Raw genomic sequence first — 23314 nt, 5'->3', positions numbered from 1 at the left:
CAAAGTACGAAACAATAAATCATGGACACAAAATTACTCCCAATCTATTATATAACTTTAAAGATGACAATGCATCAAATGTTGTAAACAAATACAGTATATATGTCTCAAAACAAATTTCAAGGGAATTAGTGTTCAAAATCAAAGCAAACACACATGGAATTTTTAAAAGATATCCTTTATAATATCAATTATTTTCTGTAAACCTTGTTTTGTTTCAACTACTGGCAACTTCACACATTACTAACTTTTAAGTCAAAAGGTAAGCCATTTAACAGAACACTTTTTCTAAAAATAGTTTTCTTACATTAGCATTCATTGTTGCACTATTATTATCATAAAGTCACAAATGACTCATTTTTTAAAAAAAATTATTGACTTCATGTAGCTCCTATGATGAGGTCATTTGTTGGCAATATGTGAAGTAATAAATTTGGGTTGAGTTTTTAACTAGATTACTAAGTTTTAACCCCCCAAAAGTTTAATAAAAACAATATAACATTAGCAAGTTGGACTTTTAAGGAGGGAAGAGATGCCTGTGAGAAAGGCCACATGTTCAGAAGGTAGCATTCCACCATGTAAAAGCCTAGTCTGTCCATGTGCTAAATTAGCCCAAGGGCTGGCATTCTTATTCCACAAGCTCTCAAACCTACAGGATTTAGTGGAGTTGTTCAGATGGTTTTGAAAGACTCACAAAACAAAGATGGATTATTCATTTAAGAAAGGATTGCCATTTAGTACAGGAAAAAGAAATCTGTATTTAGCAATATTACATGAAAAGAAAATACAGGGTGACAGAAGTCAACAATTTGTAAACATTTTATCAGTTAGTGGTATGATTTAGGATCTACAATTTGAGCTTTAATACAAATTGCAATACACATAAAGATTCCAAACTATTCTTTCATGATCTCTTTGCAACTACTATAAAAATTGTGTAACATGAACTTACTCTAGCTACGCTTTGTAGGTTTTTAGAGTATCATATATTGGATACTTTCAGAAATAATAACTTTAAAGATGAGTATATACCAAATTATAATATTACAAATTATTTCATTATCTATTTTTCCTTTGAAAATCTCACTGAACCAAATGCTTTATTACCAGCTCATTGGTTATTAGTAAGAACAACTGAACTGCAAAGGTCTAGAACAGGGGTTGGCAAATTATGCTCCATGAACCAAATCCAGCCACATCCATTTGTTGAGATGGTGTCTGTGGCTGATTTTTCATTGAAACAACAGATTTTGTGTAGTTGCAACAGAGACTTCATGGGCAAAAATATTTATTATCTAGCTCTTTACAGAAAAAGTTTACCAACCTCTGGTCTAGAATATCTCCTAAGATAGAAATTTTGTTTTCTATGCAGCATTTTATTATCTGAAATCCTACTATTCCAGATTGACTAAGGTGTGAAAAAACAACAATTAATAGCAAGAAATACAATGTTTACTTGACTGCTATAGGAAACCAGGATACTTTCTGAGATGATGAAAGTGTTCTACAAAACTTGATTGTGGAGGTGGTTTTCACACTACATTTACCAAATTCATCAAATTGTAATTGGCAATTTGATTTTATGTAAAATATAATGCAATAAAAAGAAAACATCTGAAAATAAGTTCACCTCATTTTTATAGTTGGATAATAAAAATATCAAAAGAAAAGAAGAAAACGAAAATCAGCTAATGATTTGAGCTATGTGATTCCTGACAGGAATGTTTCTACAGTTTACCATATATATCATACAATACACAACAATGTAGAATTTGAGAACTTATTCTTAAATATTACTCACAGTGTCCTATACTTTGAATTATTTATTTATGTGTTTGCTTATTTATTTATTTGATTTATTTTTTAAGAGGCAAGGTCTTACTCTGTCATCCAGGCTAGAGTGCTGTGGTATGATCATACCTCACTGAAGCCTTGAAATCCTGGGCTTAAGTGATCCTCCTGCCTCAGCCTCCCAAATAGCTAGGACTACAGGTGTGCACCACCACGCCCATCTAATTAAAAAAAAAATTGTAGAGATAGAGTATCACTACATTACCCAGGTTAGTCTCAAACTCTTGGCCTCAAGTTATCCTCCCTTGTCAGCTTCCCAAAGTTTTAGGAACACAGGTGTGAGCCACCATTCCTGGCCTAAAATATTTTAATTTAGATGCCAGACACAGCGTGCATATGCATTCGTGTACCAGGAAGTAAGTGGTAAATCAGGGAGCAGTTAATTATTTTGTGATGGAGAGTATTCTCTTCCTGAGGGCACCCAAGCTGAGGTTTCAGAATCAAAAGGTTTAAGGAATTATTCAGCTTTAGATACATATCAAAAATTAAAATAATGATATTTAACAAGGCTGAACAAACCCATTATCTACTAACAGAATCTCATAACCACAGTGAGTTCAAAGGAAAAAAGAGATAAAAAGCTATAGGAGACCACTTAGCTTTCTAGACAAAAGTTTTCTCTTCATTAAAAATCTTAGTAGTACATTTTATGAATATTTTGAGGTAAAAGGAAGCAAAGGACTGATTCATGTTAGAATATGATGTTACTAGATTTCGATATAAAATTTGTGACCATTTCATGGAAAAACATTTGTCTGTTTTCTACTGCATTTCTGGTATCTCACATAAATCTCCACTTTTCTATGAACTTCATTTGGGACAACAAATAAACTGGTAACTGCCTGTTGAAAAATTCAACAAATAAAATCACATGGCCTTAAAATGCAATTTATATATTGTTAAAAAAATAAAGCAACTTTTTTTTAAAACAGAAAAATATATTGTTACGTAAGTACATAGGAAAGGGTGAAAAATATGTTAACATGGCCAAATTAGAGAAAGAAGATAGCAATGTCTATTTTCTTCTTCTTCTTCTTTTTTCTTTTTTTTTTTAAGACAGGGTCTCGCTCTGTTGCCCATGCTAGAGTGCAGTGGCAAAATCATGACTCACTGCAGCCTCAACCTCCCTCTATTGATCCTCCTGCTTCAGCCTGCTGAGTAGCTGGGACTCAGCTGCACGTCACCACATGTGGCTAATTTTTAATTTTTGTAGAAACAGGGTCTCACTATGTTGTCCAGGCTGATCCTAAACTCCTGAAGTCAAGCCATCTTCCCACCTCAGCCTCCCAAAGCACTGGGATTACAGGTGAGAGGCACCACGGCCAGCCTATGTTCTTCTTTATGACTATCTGTGACGTCTATTTTAAAACAAGGCACATATATTACTTATAATTGTAAAAGCAAATACATGGAAAATCTTACTAATAGATATATTAGTGAAAAAAAACAGAATGCATGTTATCATTGGTATAATTGCCCATTATGTAAAGATAGGTATACATGCAATTAAGGAATTTATAGCTACTGTAATCATAAGATAATAAGCAAATGTTTCAAGAGTTCTCTTTGTTAATATCTTATTCCCAATGTCTTAACAATGAATACATCTTGAAAATAACTGTGCATTCCCCTTTTGTATAATGTAAAGATATATTTAAAAATTTGCCTTGAATTTACTTTTAAAAATAACCCTTTCTGATAGCATTAAAATTTGCCATTCCTTTCCCTAATTACCTAGTTTCAGTCACTGGAATGATGACTGCTATGGTCTGAATGTTTATCAATTCTCAAATTCATGTTGAAATTTACTTGCCATTTTAGTAGTATTAAGAAGAGAGACATTTAAAATCTGATCAGGTTATGAGAGCTCTGCCCTCATGAATGGATTAATGGCATTATGGCAGGAGTTGGTTCATTATCTTGGGAGTGGGTTCCATATAAAAAAGTGAGTTTGGGCCTCTTTTGTCTCTCTTTCTTGCCCACTCTTGTCCTTCTACCTGCTGCCCTTGGATGACACAGCAAGAAGGCCTTCACCAGAGGCTGGCCTCTTGCTCTTGGACATGTCAGCTTCCAGGGGATTGAGGAAATAAATTTCTATTCCTTATAAATTACCTAGTCTGTACTATCCTGTGATAGCATTACAAAATAAACAAGACAATACATGAAGACAATAAAATCTCCATTCCATATAAGGCTGGCAGTCCGAATAATTCTATATTTGTTGAATTTCTTCAATTTTTCATGAGCCAAGCAGTTTAGTTTGAAGTTAGCAAAAGTATTTTTAAAGAAACAACCACAAATTTGGTGTATGTATCTATACATCTACATCTGTATCTGGTAGGGAATGGAATAACTTACCTAAAATAATAGTTTTTAAGGAACATTTAAAAACATTAAAACCATAACTTAAAGCTAAAATAGATCACTGAATTCATTCTTAGTTTTTTAATTTACAGAAAACACAACTGTCCATTTAAGTGACTTGTCCAAAATAAAAAAACTAACTGGTGACAAAGTTAGAAGAAATACTGGACTTCCAATTCCTTGATACCATGCTTTTAAAACTAAAGTTCACTGCAAAAGGAGCCTGCCTTTTTGCTGCCATCTCTGCTCAAGGGAAGGACTTCCAGAAAAGACACAGGTTCCTAGATTTTCATCCCCAGTTGTTGCTGTGAGCCTTGGCTATCACTCTCCTTCTATCCCAGAGGACTGGTAAATGGGACCAGGACTTATTCACTCAGGCTGGCCTCCTTTGATCTGCCAACTGGCCCTGTACATGGCAAACTGTACATTGCTGGCACCTGGCTCAGGGCTCTGCCATAGTCCCAGGGGCATATCTGGGCAGGGACTGGTCCTGGCCTAAGTCCCGCCTGACTGGCAGCAGGTTCCAGCTGATAGGAGGCCAGAGAAACACATGCTGAAACCCTCTTGTGCCACTGCTCTCACGCCCCAAGGCCTCCTGGGCACTGACCGCCTTTCCAGGGGCACATGATGAAGGTTGGAGCTTGGAGACTGCAACTGGAGTGAGAGCATGTGCTGGATGGAAACAAGTCTGCCTAGCACAGCCTGCAGGCTAAATAAGAATAAAGCGAGTGGAGCGTCAGATCAGCAGCTGCTTCAGAGCCATTTTGGAAAGAGGCTGGGAATAAATAAATAATAAAAAATATAATCAAATAATTGCCATCTGTTACTGTTGCTACCACCTTGTTGACAATCTACTCTCCAGCTTTGCTGTCCACATGAACATCAACATTTCTGCTCATGGCTACACAGCAAAAGCTCTGTCTTCTGGAATGTTACTAGTGGAGGATTATGAAATATTACCATAACATAAACCTTACCTACCTTTACTTATACTGAGCCCTGTCTCTGTCCTTGTCTTAAAACTTCATGAAATCCTATTTGGACCTTGAAAATAATTCTTTAGGTCTTTCTCTCTAAATCTCCCAAGCAAAAAGTGCAGTGTCCTTTTCTGGTCTGCCATTCTATATAAAGAAGTTACTTGTCATACAATATAGTTAGTGATATAAATTGTCTATTTTCTCAGTGAGCTGTTTGAAAACAATCTACAGCCCTCTGTTTACATAACTTCTCGAACTGTTATATAGAAAAGGAGACTATGTGAAGATTTGAAAAGATACTACAGGCAAAGTGCTTACCCTAGTGTTTCACATGAGCAACAACCAATAAGGCTTCCTTATCATCACCTGTACTATCATTAATCATCATCATTATCAATACCGTTTATAAATCTTTACACCCTAAGGTAGCTGCTGACATGCACTACATGCTAACAATTTTTTTTTTTTTTTTTTGAGACAGGGTTTCACTCTGTCACCTGGGCTGGCATGCAGTGGCAAGATCATGGCTCACTGCAGTCTCGACCTCCTGGGCTCAGGCAATCCTGGCTAATTTTTTGTAGAGTTGGGGTTTCACCATGTTTCCCAGGCTGGTCTTGAACTCTTGAGCTCAAGGGATCTGCCTGCCTTAGTCGCCCAAAGTGCTGGGATTACAGACATGAGCCATCATGCCCAGCCAACTGTTATTCCTTATGGAAAACCATATCACATAGTTTAATCACCACGACATAATTGGACAGTACTTTTGATACCAACAATGGTTGGCAAACGCTAAGGTGGTTCCCATGACTCCCTTGCCTATTCATATTCACTTTGTTGTGGAATATTCTTCCTTTGAGTGTCTGTGAGAGGCTCGCAGTCCAAGAGACTCAAAAAACAGAATGTTGCCAACAGCCATGTGAGCTCAGAAGTAGATCCTTTCCCAGTGGAGCATTCAGATGAAACAAGAGAAGGCCTAGCTGACTGTGCAGACTGAAGGGACACCTGGAGGCAGAGGCACCCAGCTAGGCCATACTCAGACTCTTACCACACAGAAACTGAGACAATAAACCAGTGCTATTTTAAGCAGCTTATTTTGCGGTAATTTTTTACACAGCAACAGACAGCTAATATACCAACATTTCCCCAACTTATGTTCCACAGAGTCCAAAATTTGTTCTTAATCTAGTAAATCTGGGAGATGTAATGGCAGATTTAATTTTAACAGCAGAAGACCAAGAGCTTTTAATCATTAGCTAATGAACATTGAGATTCTACTGGCTGGGGGGAGATGGGAGAGATGCACATATGCAGCTCACCCCAAACAGATTTGATCAAGGACATTTTTCCTAATTTTAACAATTATTTTGTTAATTGGACCATAATTTTATTTTTCTTTTCTTTGTTTTTATGAAATAGGGACATAGTCTCACTATGCTGGCCAGGCTGGTCTCCAACTTCTGGGCTCAAGCAATCTGCCCGTGTCAGCCTCCCAAAGTGCTAGGATTACAGGCATGAGCCACTGCTCCCAGCCGCAGACCACAGTTTCAGAAATGACTTTTCAGATTCACAGAAGCTTTAGGAGACACAGAAATCCAAAGCCAGCTGTGAATGCCTCAGACAGGAGGCAGAACATGTGCAAAAGTGGACAACAGCCATCCCACGAATTGAGGGAAATTATCCAACTCTTCCTAAAAATATCCAAATTTGCTGTTATCCAACAAACTATATTTTGTGAAAAGTTTTGTTGCTTCCCTAATTTTTCCGTCTTGTAAATTGTCAACAAAAATATATAATGCTCAACATATTTTGTAAGAAAAAAAAACGTATTCATGTGTTTGAATCAACAGACTAGCTTCAATCTAAGATAAGTCAAAGCAGTAAAAACTTGTTTTAGAATAAACTTTGTTGTGGGGGGACCTCTAAGACCCAAAACAATAAAACTTCTCACCAAAACACACACACACACACACACAAAATCCAAAGATGAAAGTTTCATTTGAAATATTTCTCTAGTCCCTCCTGATCTTTTATTTCTCTAAACCAACCAAGCATGGTATTTTTATGAACAAATTCTGCAATTGCGTTTCTCAAGAAAATAATTTACAGCTATGAAGAAGACAAAACAGTAGTTTTCCTCTCTTATCCCTTCCTTCCCCCATCACATCAGCCATACACATCACCTCTCACCAGCAATGACAGGGACTGTCAGGAGGCTGGAGGCAGAAGGACAGAGCAGCTTGCAGAGGAAAGGAAATGGAGTAGAGTCCAATGAGCACCTTGTTTGACATCACATCCATCACTTTAAAAGGTGTTGAGTTCTGTTTTTGTTTTTTAATGTCTTCCTGCTTTCCAGAAACTTTACTTCTTTGGCAATGAAAGGGCCAACTTGCACATTCTAGAATGTTTTACTGCCTTCAACATTTGTGCTTTCAATTTACAGATAGCCCTTTAGAACTGGTGGGTAAAAGTGCTATGTTTAATCTGGCACTCAGTGATTCAAAGGCAATTTCAAATTTGCATCAAAATTTCTCAACTTAGGTGCATTTCAAAGTAAAGTGATACTATGTCTGAATTTTAATAGCACTAATTCCAGTTACTAGTCTAAATTTTATTATTGAGGGAGATCAAGGAGCTCATTTATAGCTATTCTTTGATACAGTGCTAGATAGCAAAACTTACTTATCTGTAATATACCTATTTAAAAAATCACTGATCATAATAAAAATCAGAACTACTTGAAAGCTCTTCATGTTGTTATTTAAAAGATGTACAAGAAGTCATATGATATGATCTTATAAGATTATTTCAAATGAATTACCTTCAAGTCTGAAGACTCAACAGAAATGCCCATGTTAAAATATTGGTCATTCTAATGCCTAAATAAAGCTAATATTACAAGCACAAATCAATGCTCTCACATTAAAGAGGGGGTAATGAGACCTGCACTCTCTACTCCACAGGATTATAAGGATAAAACAAAGTAAGAGCTATGAAGCACTTCATAAACTGTAATAGGCTCTTACTATTATTAGAAATGACTGAAGTTTGAGTCCATTTTGCTTCCTAAAAGCAATCTAATGTCAAGTGCTGCAGATCAAACATTTCTATGATTCAAAAACCAGAATGCTTACAAATGTTGAATTCAGTGTTCAAAAATAAGAATGCCCTCAGACACTGAAGTCTACACCTTGAGCTTGACCAAAAAAAAAAAAAAAAAAAAAAAAGCTTAGCCTGTGCTATAACACTGCACAGTACAGATGCCCATATCACCCATATCCAAGGCAGACCACAGACATGTCATTCACATAGAAGGTCAAATACACAGGCATCTTTCAAAATTTAAGAAGTGACTCCCTTTGCTATCTATAGCCAAGGCTGACAAAATGTAGGGAACTGATATTTTTACTGTAATGAAGGATACATGTGACAAAGCACTTGATTTATCAATCTGCTAAGGAATCCACAATCTACCATTATTTCAAATCATACATTTTGGCAATCTATGCATTTTTTTTTACTGACAATTACAAGAATACTCCTTCATTTATGCATATTTCCACTTATATATGTTTACTCTTGAGATTTAAAGACTGGTCAAATGAACTTTGGTAACAATCTAATTAAGAAAAAAAAAACACTACCAAAATGTCCTAAAAAACAAGCTATTAATATAATGGTCTGTACACTGTTTTCTTATAAACTAATTTTACTGTTGAACAGAGCATCAAATCTCTAAAGACTTCAAGAAATCAATATGCCATTTTACATGTAGATTTCTGTGTTTCATGCTAATATAAAAAGTAATATTTGCAGCAAGAACTACCCTTAAGAGACAACAAACATTGAAATTGGACAGCAGTAGTAGTGTTCACTCTAGATGATAGCTTACTCTTCTTTAAAGTATACACTAAGGTGTAATTATGCATTTCTTCAGGACTAAATTTTCTTGTGATCCACAAAATTTCTTATCTCACAGGTCTCTGTGAATGAAAACATTTGGCAGAAACACTAAGCTGTTTATGAGGAATAAAAGTACACCAATGGATTCCTGCTTAGCAAACAAAATGTTCTGTCTCTTAAAGGAATTAACATGAAGTATAATTTTATTCTCAAAGCATGGCATGAATAATATAAATCTATCATAAAAACTGTTTACTACAAGAATGATTCCCTTTTATTAAATTATTCTCACTTCTTTTGCCAGGAAAGCTAAACTGAATAGCACTGTGATAGAGATACTTTAAAATCTGAGCTACAAACAACAAAAAGTTGTTAACATTGATATGTAAAGAACTATTTTTAAAATCGTCCCTTGCCCAGTAATTATACTTTAAAATAGTCAAATAACCATCACCATGAAATATGCAAGACAATGATTTAAAAATCAGTCCATTTAAAACAGGTTCCAGAGGTTCCAAGATGGCCGAATAGGAACAGCTCCAGTCTGCAGCTCCCAGCATGAGCAATGCAGAAGATGGGTGATTTCTGCATTTCCAACTGAGGTACCACGTTCATCTCATTGGGGCTTGTCAGACACTGGGTGCAGCCCACGGAGCAGGGTGGGGCATCGCCTCACCCAGGAAGTGCAAGGGGTCGGGGAATTCCCTTTCCTAGCAAAGAGAAGCCGTGACAGAAAATCGAGAAAATGGAAAATCGAGACACTCCCACCCTAATACAGTGCTGTTCCAATGGAATTAGCAAACGGCACACCAGGAGATTACATCCTGCGCCTGGCTCAGAGGGTCCCATGCCCACAGAGCCTTGCTCACTGCTGGCACAGCAGTCTGAGATCTAACTGCAAGACAGCAGCCAGGCTGAGGGAGGGGCGTCGCCATTGCTGAGGCTTGAGTAGGTAAACAAAGCAGCCAGGAAGCTCAAACTGGGTGGAACTCACTGCAGCTCAAGGAAGCCTGCCTGCCTCTGTACACTCCACCTCTGGGGGCAGCACATAGGTGAACAAAAGCCAGCAGAAACTTCTGCAGACTTAAACGTCCCTGTCTGACAGCTTTGAAGAGAGTAGTGGTTCTCCCAGCATGCAGCTGGAGATCTGAGAACGGACAGACTGCCTCCTCAAGTGGGTCCCTGACCCCCGAGTAGCCTAACTGGGAGACACCTCCCAGTAGGGTCCAACTGACACCTCATACAGCCAGGTACCCCTCTGAGATGAAGCTTCCAGAGGAAAGATCAGGGAGTAACATCTGCCGTTCTGCAATATTTGCTGTTCTGCAGCCTCCGCTGGTGATACCCAGGCAAACAGGGTCTGGAGTGGACCTCCAGCAAACTCCAACAGACCTGCAGCTGAGGGTCCTGACTGTTAGAAGGAAAACTAACAAACAGAAAGGACATCCACACCAAAACCCCATCTGTACGTCACCATCATCAAAGACCAAAGGTAGATAAAACCACACAGATGGGGAGAAACCAGGGCAGAAAAGCTGAAAATTCTAAAAATCAGAGCACCTCTTCTCCTCCAAAGGAACGCAGTTCATCGCCAGCAATGGAACAAAGCTGGACGGAGAATGACTTTGATGAGTTGAAAGAAGAAGGCTTCAGACGTTCGGTAATAACAAACTTCTCCGAGCTAAAGGAGGATGTTTAAACCCATCGCAAAGAAGCTAAAAACCTTGAAAAAAAGATTAGACGAATGGCTAACTAGAATAACCAGTGTAGAGAAGTCCTTAAATGAGCTGATGGAGCTGAAAACCATGGCATTAGAACTACGTGACACATGCACAAGCTTTAGTAGCCTATTTGATCAAGTGGAAGAAAGGGCATCAGTGATTGAAGATTGAATGAATAAAATGAAGCAAGAAGAGAAGTTTAGAGAAAAAAGAGTAAAAAGAAACGAACAAAGCCGCCAAGAAATATGGGACTATGTGAAAAGACCAAATCTACATCTGATTGGTATACCTGAAAGTGACGGGGGGAATGGAACCAAGTTGGAAAACAATCTGCAGGATATTAACCAGGAGAACTTCCCCAACCTAGCAAGGCAGGCCAACATTGAAATTCAGGAAATACAGAGAATGCCACAAAGATACTCCTCGAGAAGAGCAACTCCAAGACACGTAATTGTCAGATTCACCAGGATTCAAACTCAGGCATGTGGCTGCAGAATCGGCACCCTACCCATATTTTACCTTTTATATATATTTATATTTATATATGTACTTTAGTACTTCTGTTACACCACCACTTGCACTACAGCTGTGTACTGTCTATTTCCAAACTTTGTGTGACATTGTGATTTAGTAAGAAATATTTATTTGGTCTTCATCCCAGGTCTTCATCCTGGCACAGAGTTCCTAAAATCCTTATAATTTTCTGAGTAACAGGGGTGATAAGAGCATCTTTTGTTATAATATTTGGTCTTAGTCCTCAGTTCCTGACACAGAGCTCCTAAGACCCTTGGAATCTTAGTGATAAGAGTATATTTTCTGAATGCTAAGAAGAATGACTGGTGGCTACAGGCCCCTAGATAGGTTCAGGATGGGGATTGGTTGCCAGAAGAACCAAGGCATGATTACAGGGTTGTAATCTGCAACTCCACCAATGTGCCTCCAGGGAGGGGCAAGGGGCTAAAGATGAGTTAGTCACCACTGGCCAATTATTTAATCAATCATCTAGGTTATGAACCTCTATAAAACCCCTAAATGATGGGTTCAGAGAGCTTCTGGGTTGTGGACACACTGAAGTGCTGGGAAGGTGGTGCCCCTGGAGAATGCCTGGAAGCTCTGAGCACCCTTCCTCCCTACCTTGCCCTATGCATCTCTTCCATCTGGCTGTTCCCCAGTTGTATCCTTTATAGTCAACCAGAAAATATAAGCAAATGTGTTCCTGAGTGCTGTGAGCCATTCTAGCAAACTATGGAACCCAAGGAAGGGGGCGTGGGAATGCCCAATTTGTAGCAGGTCAGTCAGAAATGCAGGCAGTCCAGGACTTGCAACTGGCATTCAAAGCGGAGGTAGTCTTGCAGACTAAGCCCTTAACCTAAGGGGTCTGTGCTACTGCGTAGTTAGTGTCAGAAATAAATAGAATCTTTAGACACTCAGTTGGTGTCTGTCTGAGGTGTTGGTGAATTGGTTATTGGTGTGGGGAAATAACCCAAAAAGTTAATTTGAAAGTGTTATGAGTAAAAAACAGCACAGTACCATGGAAAAGGTGAAATCTGAAAAGAAAATTTACTCCCATTGGCAGGCATCAGGGCATTTTTTGAGCTACTGCCCAGCACTGCGGAGCCCTAACAGGAACATTATTAAAGCCAGTTCAGCCTCCACCTGTCCATAAGGCTTCTCAATGCTTTAATTCACCCAGGAATATAATTAAAGAGGGTGATTCCTTAAATTACCAAAGCTCTATTTAAACTTTTATTCCAACAAGGTTTCCTACTAGTCTACTGTGAGAAGCATTCTTTGTATCATTTCTTAAAGTTTCCTCAAGACTCGTGGGGTTGGGAACAGAGTGACATCTAGTATTCTGGGTCTCATCTTCCTGACAGGATCCCAGTGATCAGGTGACACAGGTCATCAGACCAGCATGGCTTACTTCGACCTGAACATCCAGTTAGCACTCCTACCTTCTCACATGTTTGGGGAACTAGCCATGCATGTGCCAACTAAGTTATTAATACTCTACAGGGTATTACACTGGGGCTCTAAAGACACTGGTAACAATAATATTAGGAATAATAATTTAACACTAAGTAACAGGCACAATGTTAACTTATTTTCCATCTCTGGCCCAAAGTATATATATTTTTCAGATGAGGGGTCTGGATTACATAATCTCTGAGGTTCCTTCAAAATCTAGAGAAAATTTCAATTTAAAAAATCTGAAAATGTCAATGTAAAAGGATTTGCTTTTCTCTTATATGAGTGATTTAATTTCCCCACATAGATCTTCTGCCTTTATTCTGAATAACAAACTATAACAAAATGTTCCCAATGATATGATTCTATCAACAACTGGATGATTTCAAAAGTAACACCATCTCCCGCTTTCAATTCTTTGAGCAAAATGCTCACATGTCATTATTTATTTATTTTCATTATTTTTTTAGAGACGAGGTCTTGCTATGTTGTTCAGGCTAGACTTGGACTCCCAGCCTCAAGCAGTCCTACTGCTTCAGCCTTCCAAGTAGCTGGAACCACAGGCACACACCACTATAACCAGTTTATTTTACATTGTTCTTGTAATTCTGGTATCAGTGATTCTTATAACAATATGCTCTCAATTTATTTTAAGCATGTTGAGACCTTAATGATAACTATTCAGAAACCATACTAAACATTTGATCTTGAAATCTTCCATCGTTTTCCATCCTCTGCTTATGCCTCAGTTATTCCATTCGCATGATATGGGCACTTAATTTAGCCAACTCACTGACCCATTTCATCTACTGCTCCCAACTCTATGGCTGGATCTAAGCACAGTTTCTACATCCAATATTAGCCGGTCATTGTTTCACAGGACAGATTTCCACAGCTGACAACTCTACTCCATAACTGGAATGAACACTTCAATCTGCATTTTTATATCAGTATCCTTTCTGATTAAAAACTAGAGTGCCAAATATCTTGACAGATATTTCACAGAAAGATGTTCCATTTTTAAAGTTTGAATTTTTGCAAAAAGTTATATTATTTTAGGCCTATAAACTTGATTATTTGCACCAAGATTCCTTTCCGGTATGTGGTAAAAATAAAAAAAAAGTTTTTCAGACATGTATTGAAAATTAATAAGCAGCACAGACCATTAGTTCTTAATTGGTTTTTATTTTTAATTTTCCAGTGCTTTCTTCTTTCATTAAAATGAAAAAAGTCCTAATATCCTAAGTTTATCTATTACCACAGAAGAAATTATTCAAGGTGAAAAGGACATTTTAAAATACTAATATGCATAAATATGTACTATTTCAAAGCTAAATAAACCAACATATGGCAGGTTTTTTAAAAAAGAAACTAGGGAAAAAAGGAAGAAAGAAAACTAATATTGAACTGGTGGTATTAAAGTGAGAAACAAAGGTTTAAAATCACAAATTAAAAAAAAAATGTCTAACCAGAATTTACAGCATGTCTTACATTTCCCATAGTAGCTGGTCAGTTTTTCTCGCTTCCAGTAAAGATTTTAGAAAACATGTGCTTTAGACTGCAATAATTCATTTACTGTCATCTAAGATTTTAGTATAAATCAAGCATATTGACATATAGTAGTGGAGTCTGGTTTGGGCTGAATTTTAACATGAGCTTTTTAGAAGGTAGAGAAAGAGATGGGCCAGGATCTATAAAGCAGGGATATTAGGCAATTGCCAAACTCTAAGCTAACGTTTACACTTACTGAATGTTTGTCCCCACCAAAACTCAAGTTGAAACTTAATCCCAAATATGGCAGTACTGAAAGGTGGGGCCTTTAAGAGGTGCTTGGGTCTTGAGGGTTCTCCCTTCAGGAATGGATCAATCCATTCATGGGTTAATGTATTAATGGGTTATCACAGAAATGGCATTAGTGGCTTTACATGAGCATGCTCAACCCCCTTGCCATGTGATGCCCTGCACCGCCTCAGGACTCTGCAGAGAGTCCCCACTAACAAGAAGGCCCTCACAAAAGGAGCCCCTCAACCTTGGACTTAGCCTCTATAAGACATAATTTTTTTATTTATAAATCACCCAGATTTAGTTATTCTAAGTAACAAGAAACAGACTAAGACACTTAGCTATATGTTAACAATGTTCAAGTGTAATCACTGTTGCCTTCAATAGCACATGTATTACATAAATCCACTGTGATTCATTTCAGTGTTACTACTGTTAACAACACCTATTAATTCTTCCACTGTGTTCATCATGGCTGCTACTTAAGGTTCCAGTCTTTCTACATATGCAAATATTTTCTAAGGATACATGGCTATATTTTAACTTACATCCAGTATGACTTATTTGATTTACTGCCAACAATTCTGCCCTCAAATTGTACAGGAAAAAAGAAACACATGATGTTTTTGCATAATGAAATCCCTCTGCCTAAGTTTCCATCAACAGTGGAGAATAAGATGATCAGTCCTATGCGTAGCAATTTGTTCTGCATTTAAAAGATGTCTCGTTACCTCACATGCATGATTTGGCTGAAACTGAACTCTCTTTCAAATTTCCTCATTTCCATAGAGTTTGAAGCTGCCATTCTTAGCAATCAAACCCTATCTACATTGCTTCAATCTGGCTTATGGTGACTGAACAGAGAGATTTCTCATAGATGGAATAGTATATGCATATTAGTTGCAGTTCATATACATCCTTCTTGTTCCCATTTACAGCTTAAAAAAACTATATGAGTTTTTAAAAAGATGTTGGGCCAGGCATGGTGGCTCACACCTGTAATCCCAGCATTTTGGGAGGCCGAAATGGGCAGATCACGAGGTCAGGAGATCGAGACCATTCTGGCTAACACGGTGAAACCCTGTCTCTACTAAAAATACAAAAAATTAGCCAGGAGTGGTGGTGGGCGCCTGTAGTCCCAGCTACTCGGGAGGCTGAGGCAGGAGAATGGCGTGAACCCGGGAGGCGGAGCTTGCAGTGAGCCGAGATTGGCGCCACTACACTCCAGCCTGGGTGACAGAGCAAGACTCCATCTCAAAAAAAAAAAAAAAAAAAGATGTTTAGGGCAGTGAAATTATTCTCAATGATACTATATCAATGACACTATAGTGATTGACAAATGTCACCCTAATGTAAACTCTGGAATTTGGATGATACTGCTGTGTTAATATAGGTTTTTCAATTTAACACATGTATAACCCTGGTGCCAGATGTTAATAGTGGGGGAGGCTGTGCATATGGGAAGCGGGTATATAGGAACTCTCTGTATTTTCTGTTTAATTTTGCTGTGAACCTAAGACGCTTCTAAAAAATAAAGTTTATCTAAAAGGAAAAATGCTCTCAAATATTTATAATTTTAATATGCTTGAGACAATGTTATGTTGTGATAACATAAAACAAAAAGATCCAATATAATTAGATGTCATTATCATTCCCCTTGAATAGAAAATAAAAACTTTTGAGGAGATGAGCAGGATATTAAACAAGATGTAAATGATTAAGGTAACTGATGTTTCAAGATAGGGAAAAGACAATTTTAAGTATCAACATTCCTTTTCAAAAGAGTTACTATATCTTTAAAGTAATGTGTCAAAGGGAAATAACTTTGTCTAGTTCACGTCAAATAAAAATTATACCTAACATGTAATCTTAATAGTCTGTTCAATAGATTTTAAAATATGTATACTTGCATTCAGAGTTTTAATGACATTCCCTAGAGAAATTAGAGAGAAAAAAAAAACCCTTTCTTTGGTTCATATATTATCAATTATTCTAAATACATTCTTTGCTTTCAGATCTACATGAAAGCAACTGCCTAAACTTTGCCTTAAAACTGTTGAGGTGTTAAGATGTTGAAAGGATCTTTTAGAAGTAGATTGATGCTTCATTGGGTAATAAAGTTGTTTTTGCTATTAAAAATATATTCTAAAAGAAAGATACAGTAAAATTGAATCCGGCAGGCCACAACAAATGAGCTAAGTTATATCTAACCTTAAATTTATGACTATAACTTCAATGGTGAATTTTGTGCATAAATGATTTAAAACATAGGTAAAGGTCTGTACCTTCGGGACTAACAAGCTTTTATCCAGAGGCTATGTTTATCAAACAGACACACTACTCTGCATCTGAAAGAAGGTGATTTCTTTCTGTTTACTACTATTCTTATGTGAATTCAGAGAAGCATATGACAAGCCATGAACTTACCATGTCCTCTACAGAGTCACGTTTCTGGTCTGTTTTTCAAATTAATCTAAAACATGATTTACAATGATTTCCTCTCTCAAATTTAGACAAGGACCAGCCTGGAAGAGAAACTATCAACATTAGGAAGGTAAAATTTTAGACCTCTGATGGGAAAGAAACCAATGTGATTTTATTCTATTATAACCACAGAGTTTTTAAACTTTGTTTCTCCACCACGACAGTCAATAAAATAAGCTAAGTCCTTAAATGCTTATATTATAGAATTCTCGCTGTCTCTCATTCTCGGGGCAACTTTAATCTCGATGTCTTTTGGTATAGACATGACTAATACTCCACTTAGTCATGTATATTTTTTATTCATTCAATCAATATTTACTGAATATCTATGTGCTAAGCATGGTTCTAGAGATAGTGCAAACAACAGTGAGCAAAACAGGTCAAGTTCCCGCCTTCACGGAACTTCCAATCAAGCAGTTTAAGCAAAAACTAAATAGATGAACAAATGAAAAAAATAATGTCAGAGCCCTGGAAGTGTTATTGAAGAAATTAGACTAGAAGATAATAATGGGAAAGATTCTATTTTCAGAAAGGGGGCCCCTTTGAAGAGGTGACATGAACTATAACTTCTATGGTAAGAAACAGGCAGCCACATGAGAGGCAGAAGGACGAGCATCCCAAGCAAAAGGAAAGGCAAACTGAAAGCCTCTAGTGGAAAGAAGTTTGGGATTTGGCTGCACCACAGTATACAAGGAGCAACAAGGTGGTGAGGACACGGGCTATAAAAGGGATTTGAAATCTTTTCTGGTAAATTATGTAAAGATGAACCATCTTTTAGGAAATGAGTCTGAATGCCTCCATATAATTTTATCATTTTATTATATCCAGGCAGAGCAAACCTCTGCATTAGGAAAGCCACAGTGATTCTAAATCATGTGTAATTTACTTATTCAAAATGCATATAGAAAATAAGGCTCAGGTAAGGGTTTAAATACGACTTTGCTTACCAGAAAAAAAAAATAGTTACAGCATTTTGACTACCTGGAATTCAGAGCTGTATACTGTTTAAAGCTGAAGGGTCTCCAAATTCACTATCATCTGGTTTACCTCATCCAGCAGGTAAAGTCTACTAAGGTTGAACTCACTCATTACTACTGAATTAGTCAAATGACAAAGTGTTCTTTAAATTATGTGATGCATATTTTTGTACCAGTGTAATCTATTTATAAAGCATGGGTGTCATATTTGTTATATATAGAAAACAGCATACAAAAACGATCAATAATTTCCTAGCTTAGGCAGCCCTGTAAGAGAAAATATCTATATGTATAAATATAAAGGCCCTGGGCCACCTGAGATTGAAGGATATGAATCAAGCATCTGAATTCCAGCTTTGCAACCAGCAACCTGTATGTCCAAGCCTGGGCAAGATTCTAACCCTCTCTGAATCTCATCTCTCTCAAAAATACAGGTTAGTATACATTCCTAGCTTGAAGAGACAATGAAGCAAGAATTTCTAAGTGTGTAGCATATAGAATAAACTCAATAAATTTTAGTCTTTTCCCTCATATATTTTTCTAATAAAAGTAGTATCATTTACAATATGAGAACTACAATCATACTTTGTATTTGTCTCTTTTAGTCAAAAATTTACGGTTTTGTTCACATAAGGAAAAAAGGTAAGACAAAGAAACCATTTTTAAAGCTCTTCACACATCAAACACTGAATTAAGACCTTTGTGTTTTTAATTGTTTTGCTGCCTGGAACCATCCTATTCTGTCTGATTTCTCTACAGTTTTCAGTGTGTTTCCTTCATCTCAGACACACAAACATGCCCAAACACAGTAAATCACAGTTAATTGCATGTCTTAAATTAAAAGACAAAAAAAATCACACAATTAATTGGGGGAACTTGTCAGTTGGTGAATGAATCTTGCTCACTACACTCTGTGCACAGGATGCATGCCAACTGCGTGTTCCAAGCTGGACAATTCAGTCCATGCCTCTGAGGAGAGGTGCATGGGCACGATCCTTCTGCACAGCAGTCTGGTCATAAGAACCAAATGCTTTAAAACACTCAACATTGCAATTGCTGTATCAATAGCTATCTCTACAAGGATGTTCAGTACAGGACTGAGCATAATAGTGAAAAATTAGAAAGAGCTAAAATGCTCATTAATAAGAGACTGAATAGAGACTAGGTTTGGCCATTAATGAAAAAAATCTAAGCCGTTACAAATGATTTTGTCAATCTTAATAAAATAAGAAAATGTTCATGACATATTATTTGAAAAATGCTTACAAAATAGTATATTTCTATTTTTGAGGCTATGTGATATGCAAGTGAAGCAAGGAATGAGAGAAAGGAACAGGAGAAAGCTACTGGGAAAACAAACGAGAAAAATGTTATCATTTGTCATCTCTGAGTTGTTTATACTTTGTACATTTTCTAATTTTCTAAAAAAATCATCTAAATTTTAAAAAATTATATTTCAATTTGGTTTTGAATCTGATATTTTAAAATGTCAGTTTTAAAGTAAAGATCCATAAGAATCTTTTAAGATAAACTTACCTACTACAATGAAAACATCAGCATAAAATTTAAAAAGAATCCCTAGTAAGCACAAACATACAATCCTATTGTATCCTTGGTTATACAGACAAAATTTATAAAAATGCTTTTTATAAATATACGACAAATGCATGTTCATACAATTAATGCTCAATAATGTATTTCAACATATACCTTACAGTATATTAACACACCATAAGAAAATCATTATAAATCCTTTTTCATTTCCTGACACTGACCAACTATAAAATATATTCACAGTAAAGCCAATAATCTTGAATTTGAGAAACTGCAAACCTTCTCTCCTCCACCCACTACTCTCCCATTATTTTCTACCCTATTATAAAAAGATTTTATACCCAGCCACCTAGTGTAATTCCAATGTTAAAATCTGGCAATAAATGATACACACAAACTAATGTGCACAGAATTTCATCATTTTTATCAAAGTAGGAAATGACAAAGTTTTATAATCTATATCACTACTCAACTAGTCATACTAACTTTTGTTTTATTTCATTTTTCGAATAAAAGAATTTATAAAACCCAACAAAGTAGATTCATTCCAAAGGTATTCAACAGTCTACTAACCTTGAAATAAATAAACATTTCCTGCCTTCTTTTATTTAATGGGGGGTGGAGAGGAAAAAGATAATCATATTTCAGCAAAAGCCCATCTCAACCTCAGGCATCTTTATGTCCCAAGGGTAATATTTTCATTCCATTCTTAATAGAACAAATTTCTAATCAGAATATGTATTCAAAAATAATTGAGGCAATGCAATGTCAACACGTTATGCTGCCATCAGGCATCCCGTGGTGCTCAGAATCAACTCAACACAATCTCTAATGTGACAGAGAGCCTGGGCAATGCAGAAACGTCAACCTTGATCAAGAGAAGGGGAGCTAGCAAGGAGCATGCAATGGTTGTGCTTCCCTTTGGATGCTCAAACATGGTGTTTGGAGGAAAGCTTCTATGCTGGAAGAAGACAATCTCAAGACTTCTAAGGAAGGAATGACTTATAATGCTCATTCCAGAACCTCAACTTTTAAATAGTAATAAGTGTCTATTTTTGCACTGATATTGAAAATACTTGAAACAACAGTCAATTCTGGGAAGGTTAACACTACATCTAGATTTCTAGTTATTAAAGCCTCAGGGCAATGTACATTATTGTGTATCTCCTGCAACCCTCTGAAAAGGTCCAGACATTCAAATTTAGGTTTCTCCAAGTTTGGCAAAATATTAGTAATTGTTGAAGCTGGTTGATGAGTAATTGAAGTTCATTATATTATTTTTTTCCTTTTGAGTATATTTGACATTTTCATAATAAAAGTTTCAAAAAATAGATTTTCACTCAAGGAGCATATATTTTATGTTCAAAATTTTACTGACTTTTCCTTTGGAAATATATATTACCAAGATCTGATTTATGTTTATTATTAAAGACTCTAACAAGCAGTCTGAATTTTATAAAACTCCACAAAGCATTATATTTTATGCTATCATTAAAAAAAAGAAAAAATCCTTCATTTCAGAAAAAAAAAATTACCAGGATCTATGATGATAGAAGAAGTGCACCTAAACAAATGCAGTGCCACCATCTGCCTGGCATTCTCACAGTATGACAAAATAGACTGGTAATTAACTGCTTTCCTACCGAAATCTGCCAGCTTTAACTCCCCCGTGTCACTGATCAGAAGGTTCTGTGGTTTCAGGTCTCTGTGCAAAATATAACGCTGGTGGATGTAAGACAGACCTCGCAGCAACTGAAATAAAAACAACTGAAAAATAAGGAGACAAAGGTTAAAATCAGAACACAGATAAATGCCAGTTTCTACATACAGTCTGCTAAGTACTTGTATTAATATTTAGGGAAAATGGGTAACCATCACCAAATTTTCTACCAAATTATTTCAACAGAATGTGAGATTTTAGTATGTAAATTCCTAATTCATTTAGAAGTAAATCTAGGAATTTCTAACAACCTATTATATCAACCCGAGAGTGATTCTCCCTCAGCCAGAGAGATCTGTACTCCAATTAGCGTTCTTTAAGCAAAATGTAAATAATCAATTTTTTTATAATTGATTTAGTCTTCAGGACTAAAATGATGTTTGAAAGGAGAGGAAATCTATTCATAATATTATAGAGATTAAAAAAAGAACTGTTTACCAAGGGTTTATATCAATATGCACATATTTAATTCCATAGAAACAACATGAACATGGTACCCATAAATTCATCCATTAACATGCTTTAAGGAATGGAAAGATAAGATGATCTGAAATAATTAAAACAAAAACAGTCATATTGTCTAATTAATACTACATTATAATTATACTGCTTTTGCACATATGGTCATATAGATTAGGCTGCTGCTTAAAGACAGACATGTACCACCTTCACTAATTTCAGAGCAAACCCATCCTAAAGGGAAAGGAAACACAACAGGAAAGTCAAGAACTCGAGAGTAATACTTTTGGAAGAAATAATTTCAGAAGTGATTAATAGCCTTTTCTGTGAAGTTTAATATTGGATCATACCAAATGTTTCTATTTTGATAACAAAAAAGTGTGATTCACTAGGCTTCCCAATATTCTTCTTATGAAAAAGAGAATATTTTTAAACAATTTACTTGCCAAAATAATCCTAATTGATATTTTTTAAAATCAATCTCCTAAAACAAAAACAAATGTTCTTACTTTTAAGTGCCACCAATATTCTAGTCTATATAACCAGTTAGTAACCAAAGGCAGTTTCAGGGCAATTTTAAATGAGTTGTAAAAGACGAATGATAGAAAGATTCTGAAACTTGAATCGAAAAGATTGGCAACTTCCTGAGGGCCCTGGACAGTGGCATCTCTGGAATGTTCTGACTAAGCAGGGGCTTTGAAAGCCAAGTGAATTTCATTACAGGGGATACCTTGAAATAACAGTAAAGTTAATTAATCTCAAAATCTTTGTATGCGAGAATATGTATGGGGCAGTAAAGGCTTGAGATGATTATTTCGAGAGTCTAGGCAGCAGAAAGTAGAAGTCTGATCTGTGTTGGTCAAGATTAAAAGACTAACTCAAGAATCTCGGGATGCAAACATCTCTCTGGATTTGTCCTCTCAACGCTTCTTATACAACAAACAGAAAGACTTGAGTTCACACCATCACTAGCAGCTGCCAGCCTCATTCTTCACTTCCAATACTCCCTGCATCCTGAAGCCTAAAGCTTACAACTTCTAAGAAAATTCATACTCCTTTAGTTTAGAAGGAAAGAGGGAAAAATAAAGCCACTTTGTGTTATCAAAGCCTTTTAAAAAAACGAAATAAAAACACGAAGGCAAACCACATAACAAACTTAATTTTAAAAATAAGTTGATTTTGAAAGGAAACAGTTTGCCATTCTGCAAAATGCTACCTGATCTTTGGGATCTAGCAGAGTCTTATCAGAATGTAAGTGTTTAACCATGGCAATGCATTTTAATTTAATGAATACATAACACTATGTGCCAACTGCTATTCCATGTAGTTTATAGAATATTACTTCATTTGACGTTCAAACAATTTTAATGAAGTAGGTACTACTATTAACCTCCATATTAGTAATGAGGAAACTGAGTGCGGTTTCTCAAGATCACACAGCAATTAAGTGGCAGAGCCAGGCCTCAAACCCAGAGAGTCTGATTCCAAATTCTATGCTCTTAACCATCTCACCATCTCACTCATCATCTTGGCCAGAAATCAACATCAGTAGGCAAA

General features: G+C 36.4%; 1 protein-coding gene across 4 annotated transcripts in view; it reads right to left on the bottom strand.

The window, feature by feature from the left end:
- The window catches only part of CDK14 (cyclin dependent kinase 14), a 614270-nt gene that overhangs the window by 271645 nt on the left and 319311 nt on the right, over positions 1–23314 (bottom strand). For all 4 annotated transcript variants that reach the window (NM_001287135.2, NM_012395.3, NM_001287136.1 and 1 more), the window contains one exon: positions 21222–21345. In NM_001287135.2, the coding sequence (NP_001274064.1) occupies positions 21222–21345 (124 nt within the window). The remainder of the gene's footprint in view (positions 1–21221; positions 21346–23314) is intronic.

This window comes from Homo sapiens, chromosome 7 (assembly GCF_000001405.40).
Source record: "Homo sapiens chromosome 7, GRCh38.p14 Primary Assembly".
In the NCBI taxonomy this organism is placed as follows: domain Eukaryota; kingdom Metazoa; phylum Chordata; class Mammalia; order Primates; family Hominidae; genus Homo; species Homo sapiens.
The sequence above is the reverse complement of the archived record's forward strand: the minus strand, read 5'-3'. Positions and strand labels throughout refer to the sequence as shown.